Source organism: Homo sapiens, chromosome 9, assembly GCF_000001405.40.
Source record: "Homo sapiens chromosome 9, GRCh38.p14 Primary Assembly".
NCBI lineage: Eukaryota > Metazoa > Chordata > Mammalia > Primates > Hominidae > Homo > Homo sapiens.
In genome coordinates this window covers 79962335-79984118 of record NC_000009.12, presented here as the reverse complement: position 1 = coordinate 79984118, position 21784 = coordinate 79962335, and the positions used below count along the sequence as shown (strand labels likewise).

Sequence of the window (21784 nt, the reverse complement as noted above, 5' to 3'; positions counted from 1 at the left end):
GAGGCTCAAATAAAACAATCCAAAAGAATAAAGAAGGTTGTTGTGAACTGGCTATTGAAACTAGCAGCAATTGGAAAGTTACAGCAAATTCTGCTTTGCTACCATTGCTGTACTTATAGTTTCTTTTGAAAATCTACACTAATTCATAGGAAAGATGTAAAGCAACATTACCAGTATAGATTTTGGCCTCAAGTTCCAGTATACAAATTGTGCATCTTTCAATCCTGAGGAGTTGTTGCCACAATCTAGGCAATGATAAGCCAGTTCAAAGATGCAGCTGTACCTCTCCAGTGAGATCTATCTTCCCCTTCCCTGGAGTAGGGGTGGTTTTAAAGAGGCTAACCAGCAAGCCTGAAAGAGTGGTGTTGATTAAAGTCAGAGGAAATGCACCTCAGTTTTCTAAATAGGGAGCTTCCTTCAGCGTATTATTCGAGATTCAGTTTCAATTGATTGGGATACAGGGGAACATTTAAGAAGCATATGCGTTATACGTTGAAGGAGAAATGGAAATTCATTCATTGTAATGATGTGGCTGGTGTTGAAGGATTAGTGAGACTCCCTGAAAGTTCTTACAGGGTCTGCTTTGTAGAATAGGAACTTGGTGGAACAGAGAAGGAGAATTTGGGCAGCACTCAGAGCACCTGACACAATTCAAACCACCTTCTGAGACACAGAGGAAGAGAAACTAACACTCTGTATACGCATTATCCTTTTGGACATTTAAAATACCATGGGAAATTGGTCTTATTACTCCTATTGTTAAGTGGTGATGTCAGGATTTGAACCCAGGGATACCTGCTACCCCCTGGGCTCCTGCTTTGCTTTAAGACCATAGCGATTATCTTTCCTGCCTTGCCTGAATTGTGGTCATGCCAAGCCTTTCCTTGAGAGTTTAATTAGTCAAATGCAACAATTAGCCCAGATTCTAAGTCCACAGCACTCAAAATTAGCAGAATTCTATAGTCGGTCAGTCCTTGGATAGCCTATTTTCTACCATTCATCAACTAGAAATATATTCCAACTTGATAAATAGGATTTTCTTTTCTTTTTCACCTCTGCTTTGAAATAGCCCTTTTACATCCATTTAGGAAACAATGATCTTGGAGGCAGTGGACACAATAAGCTTTTCCTTCGAGGTTCAGAATGATTTATTTGTAAACATCCATTCATTCAACATTATTTGAACACCTACCAATAAGTTTTGGCTGTGTCCTCACCCAAATCTCATCTTGAATTCCCACCTGTTGTGGGAGGGACGCTGTGGGAGGTAATTGAATCATGGGGGCGGGTCTTTCCTGTGCTGGTCTCACGATAGTGAATAAGTCTCATGAGATCTGATGGTTTTGTAAAGAGGAGTTCCCCTGCACAAGTTCTCTCGTTGCCTCCTGCCATCCATGTAAGAAATGACTTGCTCCACCTTGCCTTCTGCCATGATTGTGAAGCCTCTCCAGCCATGTGGAACTGTAAGTCCATTAAACCTCTTTCTTTTATAAATTGCCCAGTCTCGGGTATGTCTTTATCAGCAGTGTGAAAATGGACTAATACACCTACTATGTGTTCAGTATGTTTAGTATTGTGGAATGCAAATGATTTTAAGTAATTTACAGTCCAGTTGAAAAGGCAAGCCAGCTATTATCTGGACAGTACAATAACAGAGGCATGCACAGAATATTTTGACAATAGGAGAAAGGGGCAGATAAGTCAATATTCAAAGATGGGGAAAGGTGGATGAGAGCATTAAAGAAGGTTTCTTGGGGGAAGCCACATGTAATTCATAAGTAGGGGTTCTTTCTGTAGGTTAATAATTGCATAAACTGTGTTCATGATTCAGCTCCAAATTATACTGTCCCATCATATTAGCATAAGAACAAGTACTCTGAGGTTGTATTCTTTTTTTTTTTTCTTCAGTCTCCAGTTTATGGGAAAATAAGTTAGATTTATAGGAAACTTTACTCATACACACTCACACTCACATGCACACGCACACACCCTAGGTGGGACAACGTGCTGTTGCAATTGCTTCAGTCCCACACCAGCTCACATAGGTTACTGGGAGGATGAGCATCCACTTCACCCAATGTTGCTTCCAGGAAGGATCAAGTGGCGTATGTTTAAATTAGGCAAGGCAACACGTGTCTGCAACTGACCAAAGTCAGAGAAACCATAGATAAGCATCATACCTAGAAGTTCTGTTGAATGCAGAGTTAAATTAACTCTTGTGTACGTAACTCCAAGTCTTTTTCCCCAAGTCCTAATCTTTGGTCTGCGGCACAAAACTTTCCAACATTTCTCTCCAGACCATCTCCACAAAGTAGAGCTGGCTAGACCACGGTTGGGCTTCACCTGTAAATTAGCATTCATTCAGATATCATTTTATCTGAGTAAGCTTTTTGTTTTGTCTCATAATAACAGCTTTTTCATAAAGTATGGCCCCAATGCCCAGACAACCAGAAAAGGTACAGTTTGGCATGTATGGACTTTCTCTGCAGTTTGATTAAATCCCGAGTGAATTCTTGGCTTACCTCATTTCCTCGCTAACAAGAATGCAAACATTCTCTGGTCTTTCCTCCTTATTTTGTCTGTTTCCCCAAAGGTCCTGGTGACTGGCACATGTTCCCGAGAGGTACTGATTTCACACATTCCACTGGGCTGTATTACCCTGAAATATTTCCCCCTTTTCATGCAACAAATACTCCACCCCATCCGTACAAGCCACTCAACATATGTAGGTGTTCATATATCAGTAAGTAATGAATACAGGATATATATGCCTCTGTATACTAGGTTATGACAAACCTATTTACAATTATAATCCCCTTGCCATTTGGTATCTGAAAATCTGTTGGTGTCTAGAATAAATTTTCATTCAATGCACTGATACATATAATTGGTATATGGGCCAACGAGTTGTGTCTTTTTCACATATCTTAAAAAATAAATATCTTGTGATACTTTTGATAGCATTTAAATTTATATGCTCCCCCTTTTATATTCTTAAAAATAATGTTCTCTGGAATGATTTCCACTGACTGAAGATGTGAGTTCACAGGAAAAGATGATCTTAAACTCAGCCAGGACACAGAACTGTTACGTTCTGTTCCCTGGATTCTTTTTCGTATTTTAAATTGGCTACACTGGATTTACTAGCCTGACTTATGGAGTGCTTTCTATTTATCCCCTACCTTTCAATCCCCCTAAGGTGCAACTGTGCAAACCTTGTCCTTTATACAGAAAAACACTTTGCTGTCCTGGTCAAATGGAAGGCTGCAGTGCATACTTTGGATGGCTGAAATTTTCTCTTAAATGAAATATAGGAGCCATAACTCAGTTTCTGTGGCAATGAACCATAGAGGCCATTCATCAGGATGTGGCAGACATTTATCTCCTCAAATACTCCAAGGCAGATGGAAATAGCATCTAGCCTCCTGTCAGAATAAATAACCCAAACATTGCCCCCTTCCCGAAAAGACCCAAACAGATCAGCAGCCATAGATCAGCAGGAGGCAAAACCAAACCAGTCAGCTGTAAACCTTTGCTCCACTCCCACCTCTTCTTCACCGACATGGCAGTCTCATTTCACAATGGGTGGGCGTTTTACAGCCAAGGCCTTTGTTCTGACCCTCTTAGTAAGAAGTCCAAAGCTAATGTGTTGTTTTTTACTGTAAAGTTCCCATCTTTCCCTCTTTTGACTTTATTGGAAAGAAAGGACTTTTTTCATTTTCCAACCTAAATACAAACATTTAAAAATGATCTCCTCCAGGGAATAGTTTGGCACAACAAGCTTTTTTCCCCTATTTTGAAGCAAATTAGGACTGTAGACTTAAAAATGTTTAAGTAATAAATCCTATGTTATGAGTATTTTACCACAATTTTTAGAAATTAAAAATTTTAAACCAAGATATTAAATTAGTCTTAAAGAAACTCAAGAATAGATAAAATTAGTAAGGTTTTAAAATACTCATCTTTCTTAATTTTATCATATTTATCATATATTTAAGTCTTCTGGAAGACAAGCAGAATGTAAACTAGCTTTTTCCCCTGCAATGCTGGCCTTATATTAAAATTGTTTATTAAATTTCTGAGACACTCAAAGCTCCATGGTGAGGCTTTTGTTTACAGAGTTTATGAGCAGGGCCAACTCCATACCCTGAAAAGCCTAACCTCAGCCTAAACAGACTAGCCTAAGAATTCTACCCGGTTTTTCCTCGCTCCACTCACAAAGAGAATTTCTGACTTAAATGTTGTACTTTTTAACTTTTTTTTACAAAAGTTAAAAAGAACTGATTGGATCTCTAATGTCTTAGCTGATAAATTTTTAAAACTGAAAAGTCTCAAGCAACGAAGACACTTGTTTTGCTTTGTTTTTTGTAAAAAATATGGCTTTTTCCCCAAAAGTTCTCCCTACCCCTTTTTAAGTAGCCCCGTCATTGTTCCTGAGGGATTATAAACTTTTTAAGAAAAGATCTTCATGGCATAGCCTCTGTAAGTCCACCTTACATAGCACACTGCCATGTCTTCATTAGGCGTTCAAAGTGCTAATTGCATTGATTTGAACTGGCAGGACAATAGAACACTCCTTAACACAAATATTTTGGAAATGACAAAAGTAAAAACATTGTCTTCAGTGAACTGGTGGTGTCCATTCAATAGCCAAACACCATTCCTGAAAAGGGAAGCATGCAGAAAGATAGGCAGAGGGTTTTGTCTGTTCTAGGCTAAGCTGCTCGGCCAGTAGTAGAAAATTTTTGGCTTTAATGTCAAGCCACACTTGAGCATCTCCTTGTAAAGGGAATTTAGGAGTATGAAAAACAGCTTGAGCACATTTTCTACAAGTGAAGTGGAAGAACATCTGTAGGTACCCAACTATGAAATTAAGGAACCTCAGATGGTTCCCTTGGAGAGTAGACCCTAGGACATTCACTGAATATTCTCAGCAATCTGTGGTTTTTACCCAACGTTAAATACATGCAGACACAAAGGTTCTGGAAAAGCAGAACCTTTAATATAGAGTTTGAAATCTAAATAAGCGTTAGCAGCTGGATTTCTTGTGAAGAGCTAAATAATTCCTGAATATGATATGAAAGTGGAAAACCCTTCAATGGTTCTCCAATACCTGTAAGATAAGGTCCAAACTTAAGGCTTTAATTAGTGTCCACCTCTCTAGCCTCTTACCTGCAATTCCTTCGATCTCTAGCCAGGCTTGTTACTTTCCATGGAAGCCATATTCTCACACTCTATGCCTTTGCCTAAGCTGCCCTATCTATATCGAGTATTTTTCTCAATACCGTCCTCCTGGCAAATGCCTACAGACAACTTCACACACTCAGGCCGCTGGTGATTCCTTCCCTGGTACTACCTGGGGAGACTCAGAGGACCCCTGCTTTTTCCCTCTGGCCTCTGTCGTGTTGCAGCCAGAGCACCTGCCATGATACAATGTTTGAATCACTGTCTCTAGATTATATAGTGTCTACAATGCAGAGAGTCTATTTCTTGCTTATCCGTATATATGCAGAAAAAAAAGGGAGGACAGAAGCCGCAAAGCAAGGAAGGAAGGAGGAAAAAGAATATTCACACACACTGGTGCTAAAAAACAGTAGGGCATTCATTCATTCGCTCACTCATTCTTTCATTCACCCGAGGGACCTGGATGTAGGATGGTGCTCAGAGGAATTGAGAGAAAATGCTAGCTGGTGTCTTAAAGCCTAAAGATAAGATAAAGTCAGTGAACCACTGGTATGAAAGTCAAAATCGAGCTCAAAATCCAGAAACCAAGAAGATGGTAGAGTTGAGACAGAGCAGAGGGGTTGAAGAACAGAGCATCCTGCCCTCTTTGGAGGGGACAGGTGTGGTTTCTAGTCTGTGACAGTCTCCACCATTCCTTAATACTTCATTTAGCCAGACTTATTCCATTATATTACCAATCTAGACTCTGTAGGTATTTTGGTTGTGGACCTGTGACCTAAGGGATTTATTTAATACATGAGTTTTTGGAACTCATCTGATCCACTGGTTTGGATGCCAAGAATTTAGACACTTCTGAAAGAAAAATAGCTTATTACTGACAATGTTTTTAAACTACAGAACCATGAAGCCTTTGGTAATATCTCTAGCTTCATTAATCAAACCAGGCATTCTAATAGTTGCTTGAGGGCAAGGAGTACTTGATGACAAATGAGTAACAAAATACACAAACATACAGCACACACACACACATCCCCACCCTCACCATCACCACCACCACCACCACAAGAACAAAACACACCGGCCCTTTTCCCTCATGATGCTAATTTTCCTCAACCTGCTTCCTCCAAAGAAAACTTTCTAATTTTGTAGGCTTTACAGAGCTCCTGTACAATACTAGAAACAACCTTTTTTCTTTTTTCAGTTCTCTCCTAATAAGAATTATGACATCATCATTCAACACAAAAGTACAGCTGCTATCACAGGAGGGTTGTTCATTTTCCAGCAAAGCTGAAAGGTGGCTGTGTTTAGTTCATAATATATTTTTTTAATGAGGTGGTGTCTATGTTTGCTCCTTGAGAGGCAGGGTTGGAGGAGAGATGGCAGGGAGCAGGAAGTCCTTGAAATCAATTGGCTCTGTGGAAAACTAAAGGTCTAAGATATCCTTCATTTGCTCTAACCATAATCCATTGGACTTGCATTTCGTGCTCTGTCTATCAAATCAAACCTTCCCCAAGGAGAACCTGATTCTTTTAGGCTCAGCCTGTGCTCTGAGAGCACAAGCCACATGGCCTCCTTCAATAAGTCCCCATTACTGCCGACTGCATTGGTTTCGGAGCCAAATCCCAAGGGCTCCAAAGATGGATCATTCAATCTTCTGAGTAATCAATCCCCAGAGCTTGCCGCTCCGGCCCGCTTGGCTGAGATACAGGAGCAGCCGGCCTCGTGGCCAGTGCAGTATCCGGCCTGGGGAAGTAGCAGCAAATGCATAACCTCCTCTTTAAAAAGCCTATACACGAATACTTGGAAAGGGCAGGAGGAAGGTGCGAAAACAGAAGCAGGGGTAGGTGTAGGAGGGTGGGAGATTCGATCCTAAACAGATTTAACTTAAGAAAAAAAAAAAAAAAAAAGGTTACCTGACCCTGTGCAAAAACCTCACGCCGCGCAGTGCCCTTCGGGAAACCGGAACCACCCAACTCTGTTGTCACATACTGAACCCACACCCAGAGTGTTAAGTATCACTGGCGCTCAGAAAGAAAAATATCATCATTCCCTCCTCCTGGCTGGTGTCTTTAAATAGCTCCTCTTATTTACGGTGTACATAGTGTTAATGTCCTTCAGTTGCTCTATTTTCAAGGATGGAAAAGCCGTTGCTAAGCATTTCTAAATGACAGCCCCAGGGTTCATTAAAAATATGGCAAACATTTGCTAAGCTCATTAAGTGCAATTTTTGTGTGTGTGTATCAGATTCCTCCTCTGCATGTTCTGCGTGACCAAACATCTATTAACCCTAATCCCATTGATGAGTCTGATACATTCAAACCGGCAATTAGACAAAACAAAAGGGATATTTATGGAGAGACTCCTAAATGGGCTTTCATACTGGTCTAAGCTGTTTCAAAACGACAGTTTAATTCCCCTCTGTTAATCCCTTGCTTCCAGAGCACTCCCTTTGTTTGATTATAGGCTGTCAGGTTTAGGAATTCTGATTGAATCAAAATTCGAAGCAAACTAGAAACACATAATAATTACACTATTTAAGCACTGTTGCCTACTGTATAAGCAAACGAAATGCTCCACAAATGAAGACTCCTCGGCACAAAGGGTTTCTAAAATGTACTGCTTGCACAATTAGAGGCCATAGAATGTGAATTAGGTGGTTGTTTTCCCCGATCCTTTTAAAAATGCTCCAGTTGATGAATCTGGTGGTAAAAACGCCATGCATCAAATCTGTTGACTAGGCAAAAATATTTTAAGACAGGCTCCCTCTGCCCTTCCTCCACGCCACCCCTTCACCTCTCTCCCGCCTCCCCCGCCGCAGCTGTGGACTGGTCTGACCCACAGTGGTTAATCTGAGCACCAGCTCTCATTTGGCCATTCCAGCTTTCCATTAACTCAGGGCCACGGTGGTGTTATTATTAGAGGCGGAAAGGATTCCGCATCACTTACATGGTGTAAAGCTGGACAAATAAACAAGTACTGACTGTGGATGTCTCCCAATCGCACCGGGCCTCAAATTTTGAATGCACTCTTTCAAATAGCAAAATGACCCTTCTCTAGCTTGTAAAACCTCTCTTTGTTTTCCCTTAAAGAAAAGGAAACTCACCAAGAGGAGTAGACTTTTGACAGAGTTCCCCTGCAGTAACATCATTTTCAAGTGGCTCTTGACCAGCTGAGCTTTTTTCAAAGTGTAACTTTTATAGCCACAAAGGATCATGTCTTATTTAGGTTCATTAAATTTCCTCTTACTTTGCAAAGGGCTGACCAAACTCACAGCTGCTGAGAGAGAGAAGCCAACCCTTCATCATTCTTCAAGTTGATTCAGCACTGGTCAGGGCTCTATTTTGAAAGCCCTACCCAGAATTGGAACTCATAATTTAGTCTCTGTTGGATGAAACAAACAAACAAACAAAAATAATTTTTCTGTTTGGGTTAGAAATGGATCTTTTGTGTTTTGTTACTGGCAAAAGTTCCGGTGTTGCCATTGTTAGCGTGGCAACAAGATACAAGGCGATTTACAAAAGTACTGCCTGAGCGAGGCAAGGCTGCCGGGACTCTCAGGGCTGGGTGAGAAACATTACCTAAGAAATAAAGACAGGATGAACAAGAGAGTTCAACTGCCAGATTGTCTGTTGTCGACCGAGGCATCCCCCCGCCCCTGCCCCCTGCCCCCGCCACTCCCTGCCCAGGAACTACACTTCCCAGCATTCCTTACCACTAGGATTCCAGGTCAGACGCTTCAAAGGAAGGGATCTCACCAGGATTTGGAAGGGGAAGAGAAAGAGAAGCCACTCTTCTCCAGCAGTAGCTGGGACAGGACTTGCAAGTCCCAGTATACTATCGAAAATTACTATGAGGCTGCCCAAGATTCCCTCTGCTTCCTGCACTTCCAGATTTCTTGAACAGGCAGTTTCTGCCTGACCTTGGCTCCTAGCCCTCCTCATGGATGTGCCAGCCTCTAATTACCCATGTTAAAATACTTCCTGTTTCACATACCTGGCTGAAACCTGACTGATGCAGGTAATACGTGCCTGGAACCGGGGAAGACAGCAGAGTTGACTAAAGCCAGACCACTTTGAAAATGGGATCTGAAGCTTAGTGTAGGGAGCGTGCCGTTTTATTCATGCATGCAAGCCTCCTTTCAACAAATTTTTACAGGGGGCAGCTACAGTATCATAAACTTTCTGGTAGAAACTAGTGATAGAGCTATGTACCCTAATCCAGAGATCTTATAGTGTAATACAATAAGGGAGTGAGAAAAGGAGCTGCAGCTGCCATTTATGGGGAGATTGATAAAGAAAAACAATAGTAATGAATTTAGCAATAACAACAACAACAACAACAACAACAACAACAACAAAAGGCTAGTTGGGAACCAAGCTATGTAATCTTTCTAACCTTGTAGCTTTGAGGCAATCAAATCAGTTTACTCTCTGAGTGTCCGCTTCCCAGTTCCTGTCTTCTTTCATACATGATTGTTATGAAATTAGAGATAACAAAGGTAAAGTATCCAGCACAGTGGCCAAAGCACAGTAGTCAGCCAGCAAATGGTCCTTGTACCTTTTGCTCCTCGCTAGGTACTAAGCTTCTAAAGGCAGCTGCCAGGTTTTACTGTCTTGGTGTCCCAAGTATTTACTTTGCACAGTGTCTTAGGTTTAAAAGATGTTCAATAACTCATGAATGAATGATGAATGTTGGAATAAATGAATACTTGAATAAACTGTGTGGTACATAATACATGCTTGGTAATTGAGCTGTTCATGCTATAATTGAGTATAATTAGTATCCTGTAAATATGTACAAAGCCCAGTGGGAACAAAGGAGAAGGAAGTCTTGGATGAGTTAGGAAAGGAAAGGAGTATTAAAAGCTGAGACTTGAAGGATGAGGACGACCCAAAGGTCCTATCATTTGGACAAATGATGGCACAATACAACCAGTTGAAAATGTGCCCAGTGTGCTGACACAATCTTCTTACGTGGGCATCTCTGGGACTCTCACTCTGAATGATGGCCAAGGCTTCTCCACTGTGGCCAGGGTGAGCCTTCTGTGACCTGTTGAGTTAACTCTGAGCTCTGTGATTCTATGAGTTCTTGGGTAGGGAAACCCACACATCGCCCAAGAATGCCCCATGAGTGACGCAGGCTCTCATTTCTGCTGAAGGAAATGAATGCAGAAAGAAAATGATAATCTACAGGGAGTAACACCCACACAGTTATCACTCAAATGATCCCAAAAGGCTCTGAATCTGATTGGAGCAGTGCTTCATAAACTTCCTTTCAAGGGGTTTGTCATCTTAGTAATTATGAAAGACTTTTATAGTCTGATTAAATATGCTCAATCTCTGTTCAATTTTATACTTATTTTTAAACTTTACCCATTGTTTCTTTTTTTCTAATGTTTTTGCCTATGCATTTTTAATTTAGTTTCTCCTTTTGCCTCCTTGCTACCTCCTTCTTCCCATGTCCCCTCCCCCAATGTCAATAACAATGTTCCAGAATCATTTCTGGGTGGCCTCATTCTTTATTCGTGATACATTTTTCCTGATCTTCTTGTGGGAGAGTCTCAGATCAGTGATGGCTGTAGGCCTTGCTACTTTCTCTGCTCATTCAATCATTTAGTCATTTATTCGTTCATTCATAAATAGCTACTGAGCATCTACTTTGTGCCCAGCAGTGCTCTGGGCACTGAGAACAGGACAGACAGGTCCATGCTCATGGAATTTAGCTTCTGTTAGGAGAACACAGGTGCCCCCTGGATATATGGTAAAATAAGTAAAGGGAATAAGTAAAATCTGACACTGAGGTCCCTCACTTTCCCTTTTCAACAACTATTTTGTACTGTGTTGCTTCTTTTACTCTGCTCACTGACAAAACTTCTTTCTGCTGGATTTCCCACAGCTGCCTGGTCTTCATTGGAGGCCTCCAGTCAAGCAGACTCACTCTGTGTTTAGACCTAAACCATTTTACTCAAACAAAGTCAATCTATCTTGTATCCTAATGCTTCTCAAATTAGGGTATGAGCATGGTATACCAGGAATTTGCAAAACCACTGGAAAAATCCAATGCAACTTCCTGGAACATCAAGTCTGCTGGAGGATAAAGAGGAATATAACAGAGCATAGAATATATAATTTACATGAAAGTTTTAGATAAAACAGAGGGAAAGAGAGACTTGCTTATGGTCAATTGCCTTTTACTGTTCTTCAGAGTTCTGAGAGACAGACAAACGGCAAGAGAAAGGGAAAACAAGGCAGAGACAGGAGTGAGTTGAGGAGTGGGAGGTGCACATTCAGAAGGATGATGTCAGGAAACCCCTGAGAATGGTGCCAGATGCTGCTTCCATAGGGCCCGGGTCTCCAGCTGCTCTCCTGCTGAAAACTCTGCAAAACCTTCCCCTGGCAATCCGGAAGACACCCCTACCCAACCCCCGCCTGGCACCATCTGTCCTTGCCCAGCTCTCAAACACCACCCAATACCTTTTTTCTCTTCCTTCCTATGTACAATCGTTTGGTTCCTTCTTGAGGGTTTTTGCACTAGCTGCTGCCTTTTCTTGCAATGCTCCCACACTCCACCCTCTCCCACATCTTAACCTTCACAGGGTTAGAAGCTTCTTTCCTTCTTGTCATTGTCTCTTTACTAAATGGCACCTTCTCAGAGAAGTCTTCTTTAACAACATGTGATCCAAGTAGAAGGGGTCTTCCTGTCAATTGTTCCAATGTCCCCCTGTTTCTATTCTCTGTATAGTACTTCTCACTATTTAAAATGATCTTATTTGTGTATTTGTATGCTTAATGTCTGTCTTGCCCAACCTGGATCACAAGTCCCCTGAAAGCAGAGATCTTGCCTGTCTTATTTCTTGACATATCAATTCTCAAAGGTGTCAGGGATATAGTAGACATACCATTAATACTTGTTTTGTAATTGAAGATTGAAATAACACCTTGCATAAGCCTTTTCTGAAAGAAAATGATGGGGGTGGTGTTTTAAGAAGAGGAGAAAGGCCGGGAGTGGTGGCTCACACCTGTAATCCCAACACTTTGGGACGCCAAGGCAGGAGGATCACCTGAGGTCAGGAATTTGAGACCAGCCCGGCCAATGTGGTGAAACTCCGTCTCTACCAAAAATACAAAAATTAGCTGGGCATGGTGGTAGGTGCCTGTAATCCCAGCTACTCGGGAGGCTGAGGTAGGAGAATTGCTTGAACTGGGAGGTGGAGGTTTCAGTGAGCAGAGATCATGCCATTGCACTTCAGACCGGGCAACAAGAGTGAACCTCTATCTCAAAATAAAAAAGGAGAAAAAGTTGTACAAACGAGACTGGTCTCTCTTTATAGTTTGTCATAGAGCTAGACCAACAGAGCCACTGAAATGGGCAACTGATCATACCCACTAATTCCCAAGAATGGTTTATGTATTCAGCCAGTCAGTTTTTTCATTTAGATTTATTATTCTAGACATTGTGTAAGCACTGAAGACCTAGAGATGAATGCTACGTTATTGATATCTTTGAGAAAGTAGGGAGAGGGTTACTAACAGGATAGAAAGTGCTTTGATGGAGGTGTGTACAAATTATTTTGAGCAGAAGAGACCAACTAAGTCTTATCTAGAAGAGTTACAGAAACAGTACTCACATACGATCTGGGTTTTGGAAGGTAAGAAGAAACTTTACAAGCAGAGAGAAAGGGAAAGTTCAGGCTAAGTAGAGGGGTAGCAGCATACACAGTAAGTTGAAGCTGTAAAACGTTCTTCTTTACAATCAGGAAAAAGGTGGTGCCCATATGGTGGGAAGCCAGGGAATCAGAGACAGGTAGAAGGAGATGGGCCTGTGAAGGGCTTTTGCTATCGAACTACACGATTGAGACCATCCCGTGGCCGCTAAGGAGTTAGGGAGATATTTAAGGATAATGGAGGCGGTGCAAAGAATGCATGTCCAGTAGCCACGGCAGAAGACCATAAGGCTACTGCATGGACACAGGCAAGAGATCATCAAGGCAGTGCACTGAGGTGAAGAAAATTAAGCCACAGGTAGGAGTGGCAAGACTCACTTACAAATTAGATGTGTGTGGTGAGGAAGTGAGAGAAACCATGGACAAATAAGGAAATTGTTAACTGTGCATGGCAGGAACAGTAGGAGAGAGACAGGTTTGAAGGGAAGTCTCTCAAATCTTCATACAGTTGAATGCTCAACTCAGTCCAGCAGCCCTGGCATTTTATTGGTTGTTAAAGACCGCTAAGCCTTAGCCAGTGGGAATTTAAAGGCTGAGATAAAAGCATTGTGACAGGCCAGCAGGAGAGGTGTTTTTAAGAAGAGTGTCTGTCCCAGAGTCCTCTCTCTGGTCACCCACAAAGACCACTACCTTCATTAACGGAACATGGGCCATGCCTGCTGCCAGCCACCACTAACAACCCCCTACATCCCCATTGTCATACATTATAAGTTATTTCAATCCATCTAACATAATGAGACCACTTTGCAATTCCATTACGATTTGCTCCCAAGTTTAAAAGCTATGGCCAAACCACGATGAAGGAAAAGCATTAGGGAAGTGATGTGCCATCCTTTGGGGTTCCACATGCTTCCTGGGCAGCCAAGCCAACATTTTGAGCATATAGGACTCTTAGAGGGTATTTGCCAATCTCTTTTTCCAAGAGTATTAGTAAATATCTATAGCTCCCTGTTGGATACCAAATGCAGCTGCCACACTCCGTGTTGGTGCCAGCAAAGTACTTCACATAGACAGACAGCTTTCTGAGGCTGCTTTATTTCTTGTCAGCTTTTCAAACCTCACTCCAACAGAAATCTTTTGTATTTAAGCTAGTGGCCACAAAACCAGAATGTGTCTTCTGGTCAAATGTGCCTTTTATACATCATGCCACGTTTCTTCTCCCTAATTTTTTTTCTTTTATAAGATGGAAAAAAATCGCAGTGGACTCTTTGAGATACTACTTTCATTATGGCCACAAACTTCCTCACAGAAGCATATCTGTTCACATGGAGCCTCCTTGTGCCCAGAGAAATGCCATTCACAATTCAATAAATGTATCAGCCTCATCGCCTTTGAATACAGGCTTCCTTGGTTTAAATTTTCTGTGAAACCACTGACACATTGTCAGAGTTTGATTAGTTAAATGAACCAATAAATTTCTTCTTTTTTTTCAGCAACACTTTGTGTAGTCCAGTTCTCAGCCTCTCCAGGGTAATGTTTGTACAGTTTTGAAAGAGGAGCCTAGAGCATTCTTCTTTAGCCCCATACCTTCTTCCACCACCATATTGAAACTGAAGGTTATAGGTTTCCAGATCAAAGCTCTGAATTGGCATGAAGCCTAGCTAATTACTCTGCTGGCACTGAGCCCCTTGGGAGATCAGATAGGCCTCCCTCACCTTCAATACAGCTCAGTAATGGGGAATTAAATACTGGATAAGAAACTGAGAGGAATAATTCACTGCAGACAGAGCTGAACAGAAGTATCTGTTGGAGGACAAGGGCCCCTTGGCACCATATCTGAGGCTCACAAATGACAAAGCAGATGTGAAACACTATTGGGGGCAAATGGATTGGGAAAGACCTGGGAGAACTTTCCCATCAGGCTAACCCTCCCTGAGAGATGGTATAACCAGAGAATGGAGAAAATATCCTCCAGCCAGAAAACTAGCAAATCAAAATATGCAAATCTGTGTGTTTGAGTCATAACCTTCCCTTTAAAAAACGATTTTGAAGAGCATCTCTATAACTTGTTTGGCTAGTCCTTAAAGAAAAACCTCAAATATACAATAAAACAAATATCTGCTCACATTTTCTAACAAACAACACATTGTGTTAAGTGCTATGAAGTCTTGAAAAATCAAAAAATTATGGTCCCTGCCCATCAGAGCTTCACAGTCTGTGGAGACAGTCACTCCATGAATGTATGCAGAGGTCTTTAGAAGGAAAAGAGATAGTAAAAATAGGTGAGGACAGCAGGGATCTAGGTGTTATGGAAGAGGAGAGACTGGAATTGAGCCTGGAATCACAATTTGAACTTCAATTAACAAGGTAGGGAAATGGAAGGAAATTGTCCCTTCTTTACTGAAGGAACAGTAAAAGCAGAAGAAGATATTTGTAAAAGTTCAGGGCATGTTGAAGGAATAGCAAGTAGAGTTGATATATGGAATACATGATGTATGGTTGAACCCTGTGGATGGGTGAAAAATGAGAAATATAAAAGGTCAGCATTAAAGTCTGAGGTTTGAGGGTTTTCTCCTCTGTTCAGTGAAGAACCATTGAATGATGTGGATGAAGGGAGATGTGTGGCCACATCCCAGCTGTAGGATAATAATGGGAAGCAGTGTGCATGTTGGATTGGAGGAGTGAGGTATTAGAGACAGGGGATCTTGTTATGAGGCTACTATAATATTCCAAGCACGAGGCAAGGCAAATCTGATGGTAATGGGAGAGGGGAATGGTGGTATATGTGGTAGGCTAAACAATGGCCCTCCAGAGATGTTCACATTCTAATCTCCAGAACCTGTTACTTTACATGGCAAATAGGACTTTGCAGATGTGATTAAGGACCTTGAGAAGCAAGGGTTACTCTGGATTAGCGGGGTGGGTATAATCTAAACACAACAGTCCTTATAGGAGGGAGCCCAAAGGATCAGAGTGAGAAAGAGAGAATGCAAAGATGGAAGCAGAGGTCAGAGAGGAGAGAAGATGTTACCCTGATCGCTTTGAAGATGGAGGAAGGGGCCATGAGCCAAGGAAGGCAAGTGGTCTCTGGAAGCTATGAGGCAAGGAAATTGATTCTCTCCTAGAGGCTCCAGAAGGAACTCAGCCCTGCTGATACCTTGATTTGAGCCCAATGCCTATTTTGGACTGTGACTTTCAGAAATGGAAGATAATAAACTGGGGTATTTTTAAGCTACTAAGTTTGTGGTAATTAGTAGAGCAGCAATAGGAAACTAATACAATGGGACACACATTTCCCAGGTAGTACTGATATTACACATCCACTGATTAAATTGGGAGGAGAAGAAGAAAAAATTGCAAGTGGCGGCTGGGCTCGGTGGCTCACGCCTATAATCCCAGCACTTTGGGAGGCTGAGACGGGTGGATCATGAGGTCAGGAGATCGAGACCATCCTGGCTAACACGGTGAAACCCCATCTCTACTAAAAATACAAAAAAATTAGCCGGGCGTAGTGGCGGGCCCCTGTAGTCCCAGCTACTCGGGAGGCTGAGGCAGGAGAATGGCATGAACCTGGGAGGTGGAGCTTGCAGTGAGCCGAGATTGCACCACTGCACTCCAGCCTGGGTGACAGAGCGAGACTCCATCTCAAAAAAAAAAAAAAAAATTGCAAGTGACTTAGTGAAATCATTGATAAATTAATTCACCATTAGCAGAAACATTGGGCAGAAGAGAGCGTGTTGAAAGAGGATAAAATTCAAAGGGGAAGAAGATAGATAAAACAAGGGAGTTAGAATAGGACCTTTGAGAAGGGGACATCAGTCCTTTCGATGTCCTTTAGAATGAGGCTGACAGATGTCTCAAAGAAGGGGAGGTAAGGGAACATTATAATGTCCTGGATGTCACTCTATGCCTTACTATAATAGGCAATTCCCATTATTCATCTTATTAAAGAGCTTATAATTAGGCACTTCTGGATCTTATAAAACTAATGCCAGGACCATTCACAGCTTGATTTTAGGTAGGTTTCTCTGCATACCATGTGTCCCTTTGCTAGAAGACCTGTTCTGCTTTATATTAACCCTGTTATATGTATTACTTAGAGTTTAATTTCCCCTTGGTTGTGAGTGAGTCAAGCTCACCAGAAAGAACTCACGACAACCACTTGGTAGTTCTATTTAAATTCATCTTCTCTCCAAACTCTCCACTATGCCAGGTCCAGCTCTCCTGACACCTGTTCCCTCTTACTTGGATGTTCCCATAGGAATTTTCAATATCTCTCCCTTTCATTAGGTACAGCAGCATCCCAACTCTGAGGCCTGGGCATCAATTGGCACTCAGGACTGTGGAATCTCTGCTTCATTTCCAATAGCTTTCCCAAGAACTTCCCAAACAAAGACATTCTCTTCTTCTAATGAAGTATAAGAAAATAGCGTTTACTTCATAGTGTTACACATGTATTTGTAATACATGACTTCAAATTTTTGTGCAACAAGGTAACATGCAAATAAATAAACACTGTCTTGCCTTGACAAGTCAGTGCCCAGAACTTTCAAGTGTCTCTTAGAGCAAAAATTACTTGCCCAGTGATCAGAAAATATTCAACCCTTTCCTTTCTCTTCAGTTGGGAATGCAATTAAGCAAACTTTAGAAACAACACACCATTCCAAAATTGAAGATAAGAGGTCATTTGTTCATATCTTTGAAAAACCTTCCTTCCAAATTGTACCCAACTGTCTACACTGGTCTTCCTTGTGGTGGACTAGCTGGGAACAGCTGCCTTATCCAACTGGCATGCTAAGCACAATGACAAGAGCTTGGGAGCTATTTGGGAACCTATGAAAATGACAGACACTTGAGAAAAAGTTATTGCTTCTAAAATAGAAAAAAAAGGACTGAAATTCAAAATTAATAAAGTTTTAATTAAATGACTATATTACACTCTTCAGATTTACCAACCATTAAATTTGATACTGATAAAATTTCACTACAACTTGAAAACAATCAGCATACATTTTCTCACACAGGGAGAATTTTGAATGCACAGTGATGTCAGAGAAGTCACAGCAAATCGTAAAATAAATGAGTTATTTGATGTCAAATAATTTTGAAAGTCAGTTATAAAAATCTTGTCACTTTACAAGAAAATTTATATTTCATTTTGGATGTGGGTATATATTAATATTTGATGTTGTGTGGCATAGAAACTCCAAAATACCATTTCTAGTGGTTTATGAAGACTAAAATGGTCCTGACTGAAGGTATTCTATGAAAGATCCTCTCTACTTCATCCTCTCTGTTAGTGATGTTTCTAAGCATCGCGCCCCATTCATTCGCTCACTCAGACTTGCCGATGCCTTATTGAAAACTCTTGAATCTTTCGCTTGCCCTCTGCCTGCTCCTAAGAATATATCTCTTCATTCATTTATTCAGCCTTGCTCTGATCTTCTGAGGCATCTTGAACTCTTTTTTGAAAGTGCCTGCGATATGTAACAGGCTGTACTCTGGACTCTTCAAAAGAACTTGACAAAGGCATTGTGGTTGCTGTAGAGTTCCAGAACTATTCTCCTGTTATCTTCTCTCTCAAGCTATAGATGCAGTCTGTACGTAGTGACACAAAGGTAAATTGTCGTTTATAATCTGAACAGAATCTACCATATTCCACTATCATCAGCACTAGCAGAACTTCTCAAGGAGGAATTCATTTCTAGCCCTGAGCTTCCATTGAGTGGCTCCATGCTCCAAATCCCCTGTCCTTTTGGAATCCTGTGGCTTCTCTCTATGCCAATTCCCTATTCTGTGTGGCTTTCTAAATCTCTCCACTCTTCCTGGGTTCCAGCAGAGTGGCCCAACCAGAGTGGGGAAGCCAGACTCTTTCTACATGTATAGCTGTGCGCCAAGTGGTTCTTGAACTAACGGCCCCAGTTCCCTAGAAAAAAGGGAGGCTTCAGGCAACACCAAAATAACCTATCTCCTATATTTAGAAAAATCCTGAGAAGTCTACAACTTTCCACAAGAAACTCTGAGGAAAATTCCTGCCCTTTAAACAGAGGGAGAAAAAGAGAGATGCCCAGGATTCAGAAAGCCTACACCCTCACTCCACCATTTAGCTTTGGATACTACAATCACCAAATTCTCCTAAATATATTGAAACTTTCTTTTGTCTAAAAGCACACAGAGGAGCAGAATGTATAGTTTGTAAATGGACCCATTTAGTGCAGTTTAGGCTTTTGAACAATCCCTCACATCCTAGGTCCTCCACAAGTAAGTAAAGCACTGAGTATATTACTTGCTCCCATTCGGGACATCCTGGAACCCAAAAATGCATTTCATTTGGGATTTATTGGTAAGCTTTGCAGCCTCCCTGAATCAGCCTTAGTTTTGTTGCTGCTTTTATTCTGCTGGCTTGCTGGCCTCAAGCACTTGAGAGAGGGAAGGTTAAGTCACAGCATCACAGCAGCCTGGGCATTTGGCTTTCTAGTCTAGTCACTCATTTGCACCGGTTTCTATAAGGTGGCTGGGAAGTCTTCTTATAACTCCATCTAATTTCTCTTCCTTCCCAGATTCTCAACATCAAAAACAACAGAGCCTTTCCCCTTCTAAATCAATCTTCATTTTCATAACCTGCGCTACATTCTTGAGGTGGTTAGAAATGTCTGTTTCTATCAGAGGTTTAATATTACAGTTGAGGGCTTGTCAGGTTGTTAAAATGTAGAGCGTTTGTTCACTAATTCAGCTGGGGAACCCTTGCCATCTGGACTGAGGAGACAGTCGCCTTCGGACTCCTGGACTAGCATCGCGGGTCTTTCCGTCTGTGAAGGGATTTGAATTAGCAGGCCTCGTGCGTAGTCATTTCTGTGCAGAATTCCTACTCTAGAGATATTAAACTGATGTGGGATGGAAGAAAGAGTCGCTCTCCTAGTCTTTCCTTCTCCTCCCTTTGGTCTCCACCTCGCATACTGGGGAAAGAAAAAAGGGGAAAGGAGGCCGCCATGTTGATCTCCTAAGGCTGGCCAACTGCACAGAGAAACATCAAACAGCTGTTACACGTGACTCACTCATTTAAAGGCAGTAATTTATAAATTAGGTAAAAATATATGTGTGAAGAAAGGGAGTGGTATACTATGGAACATTTTATCATGAATGTGGCAATTATCAGCACCTCTAGAAATGAACTCCAGTGTTCTTCGCTTATATGGCAAGACTGCTGAAGCAACCACTGCCTCCCGGTTGCATGATCTTGGCGAACCACAGGAGAAGTAATTACTTAGGGTACTTAGGGGTCTCATTCGTCCACCACTATTGATATGGACGCTTGTATCAAGCTTGAGGAATGTTTTCATGAGCATTCTATATTCTTTATAGTCTCATCTCTTCTTTAAACATTTGAAAGCCTATGCACCCACTTTGTGCAGGCAATCTATTCATCCCTATAAGGCTTTTCAGAGTGAGAGTAGTATAAGTGAGTGGATAATACAAAATATGCCACTAATTTTATGCAGTGTTATATTTAGAAATATAGGCAGACTCTCCAAATTATAGTAATTTGCATTAAAATGTGAAATGGGTCTTTGTTTAAAGAGTTTTTGTGCTCTTTTCACAGAAAATCTTTAGCGCTTATTTAAATAGTTAAATTGCAAAACTTTTAGAGATTCCTCCTAATACCACCAAAAGATTTTAACAACATCTCAAAGCATCCTAAAACCCTCACCAAACTGTTCATGTAGTGCCCAAGGCCTAAGCCAATAGTGTGCTTTTTAACTCATTTTGTAAATTCTGATATTATAGACTAAAAAGAAAAGAAGATGCATTTAGAACTTGAATTACACAACAAAACAATTGATGTTTTCAACTTGTGAATTTCATAATAAAGAAATTCTTATGGGAAAATAAAAATACAGCATTGTGGCAGGTGTTGTAAAAGAAATTTTAGCTTTATACCCAAAGTTTGGAAATAACATCTTTCTAAAATCATAAGTGCAGAAATAACATGTTATAAAGGAACAGAAAAAATAGTAGAATTTATTTGGGATGTTTTTCTCCCAGTGGTGGAGCAGAAACAAAATATCTACATTAAAAGCAAGCTGGTCCTAGCCAGTCGTGCCTCCAGCCCCAGAGGCCTTCAGGCTCAGCGATTCCAGAGGACTTAGTAGATTTTCCCACTGGCTTGCTGAATCTAACACTAGCAGGAGTATCCTTCAGCTTGCATAACTCCCATTTAAATGCATATCCTATTACAATGGAACAGCAAGTTTCTACATCTTGACCAGGCTGGCATTTTGTTCCTAAGAAAAACAGAACAAAACAGTTTACAAAGGGGCCACTGATGTTAAACTGACTCTGGCTAAAACCACAAGCAGCTTGTTAGGAACCAAGCAGATGATTTGCCTGGGTTTCTTGAGCGTGTGTCAGCACCAATCTGTAAAGGACTTGGGGCCAAAATGAAGCAGGGATGAATGTCAGCCCCTTGTCCATGACACCTTATACAAAAGAGGAGCCCCTGTATCAACCTTTGCTGTTGCCTTGAGAAAAATTAAATTGCTCTGAAGAATTCTTTCAAAATTAGTCTTCAAATTTTCAGGCTCATTGCAAACATTGAATAACATTTTCTGTAGCATTTGTTTTTTGCTATTTGCCAAGCATTCAGGTTGAACTAGCATTTATTGAGCACTGTTATGTGCTAGCAGCTTTGCAAATATTATCTTGTGTCATCGGCAAATAAAACTATAAAATAGGTACTCATATTCCTGCTGTGTAGATGAAATATAGAATTTCAAAAAGATTAAATGACCTGCCCAAAGTTCACTACAAGTAAATGATGGGAGCAGGGTGGATCCCTTGTCCTTAAGGTCAAGTCTTATGTCCTTTCATCTACAGCCTCACTAACTACCTCTAGAAATCAGTGTACCAGAACATATTAAGCTGCATCAGCAATATTTG

General features: G+C 41.1%; 1 long non-coding RNA gene across 2 annotated transcripts in view, besides 1 other annotated feature; it reads right to left on the bottom strand.

The window, feature by feature from the left end:
• The window catches only part of LINC01507 (long intergenic non-protein coding RNA 1507), a 210026-nt gene that overhangs the window by 50437 nt on the left and 137805 nt on the right, over positions 1-21784 (bottom strand). Inside the window, exons 1-2 of one of the 2 annotated variants that reach the window (NR_121212.1) lie at positions 8897-9096; positions 8288-8565 (exon numbers count right to left, since the gene is read on the bottom strand). The exons of the other annotated variant lie outside the window; for it this stretch is intronic. This is a non-coding gene — a long non-coding RNA (long intergenic non-protein coding RNA 1507). Of the gene's footprint in view, positions 1-8287; positions 8566-8896; positions 9097-21784 lie in introns of those variants that run through there. 2 annotated transcript variants of the gene reach the window in all.
• Positions 5860-8720: an enhancer, noted in NCBI's record as "VISTA enhancer hs1163". NCBI's record gives its function as "enhancer in: branchial arch[6/11] | trigeminal V (ganglion, cranial)[8/11] | cranial nerve[8/11]" and the evidence as "EXISTENCE:transgenic organism evidence [ECO:0001131][PMID:17130149]".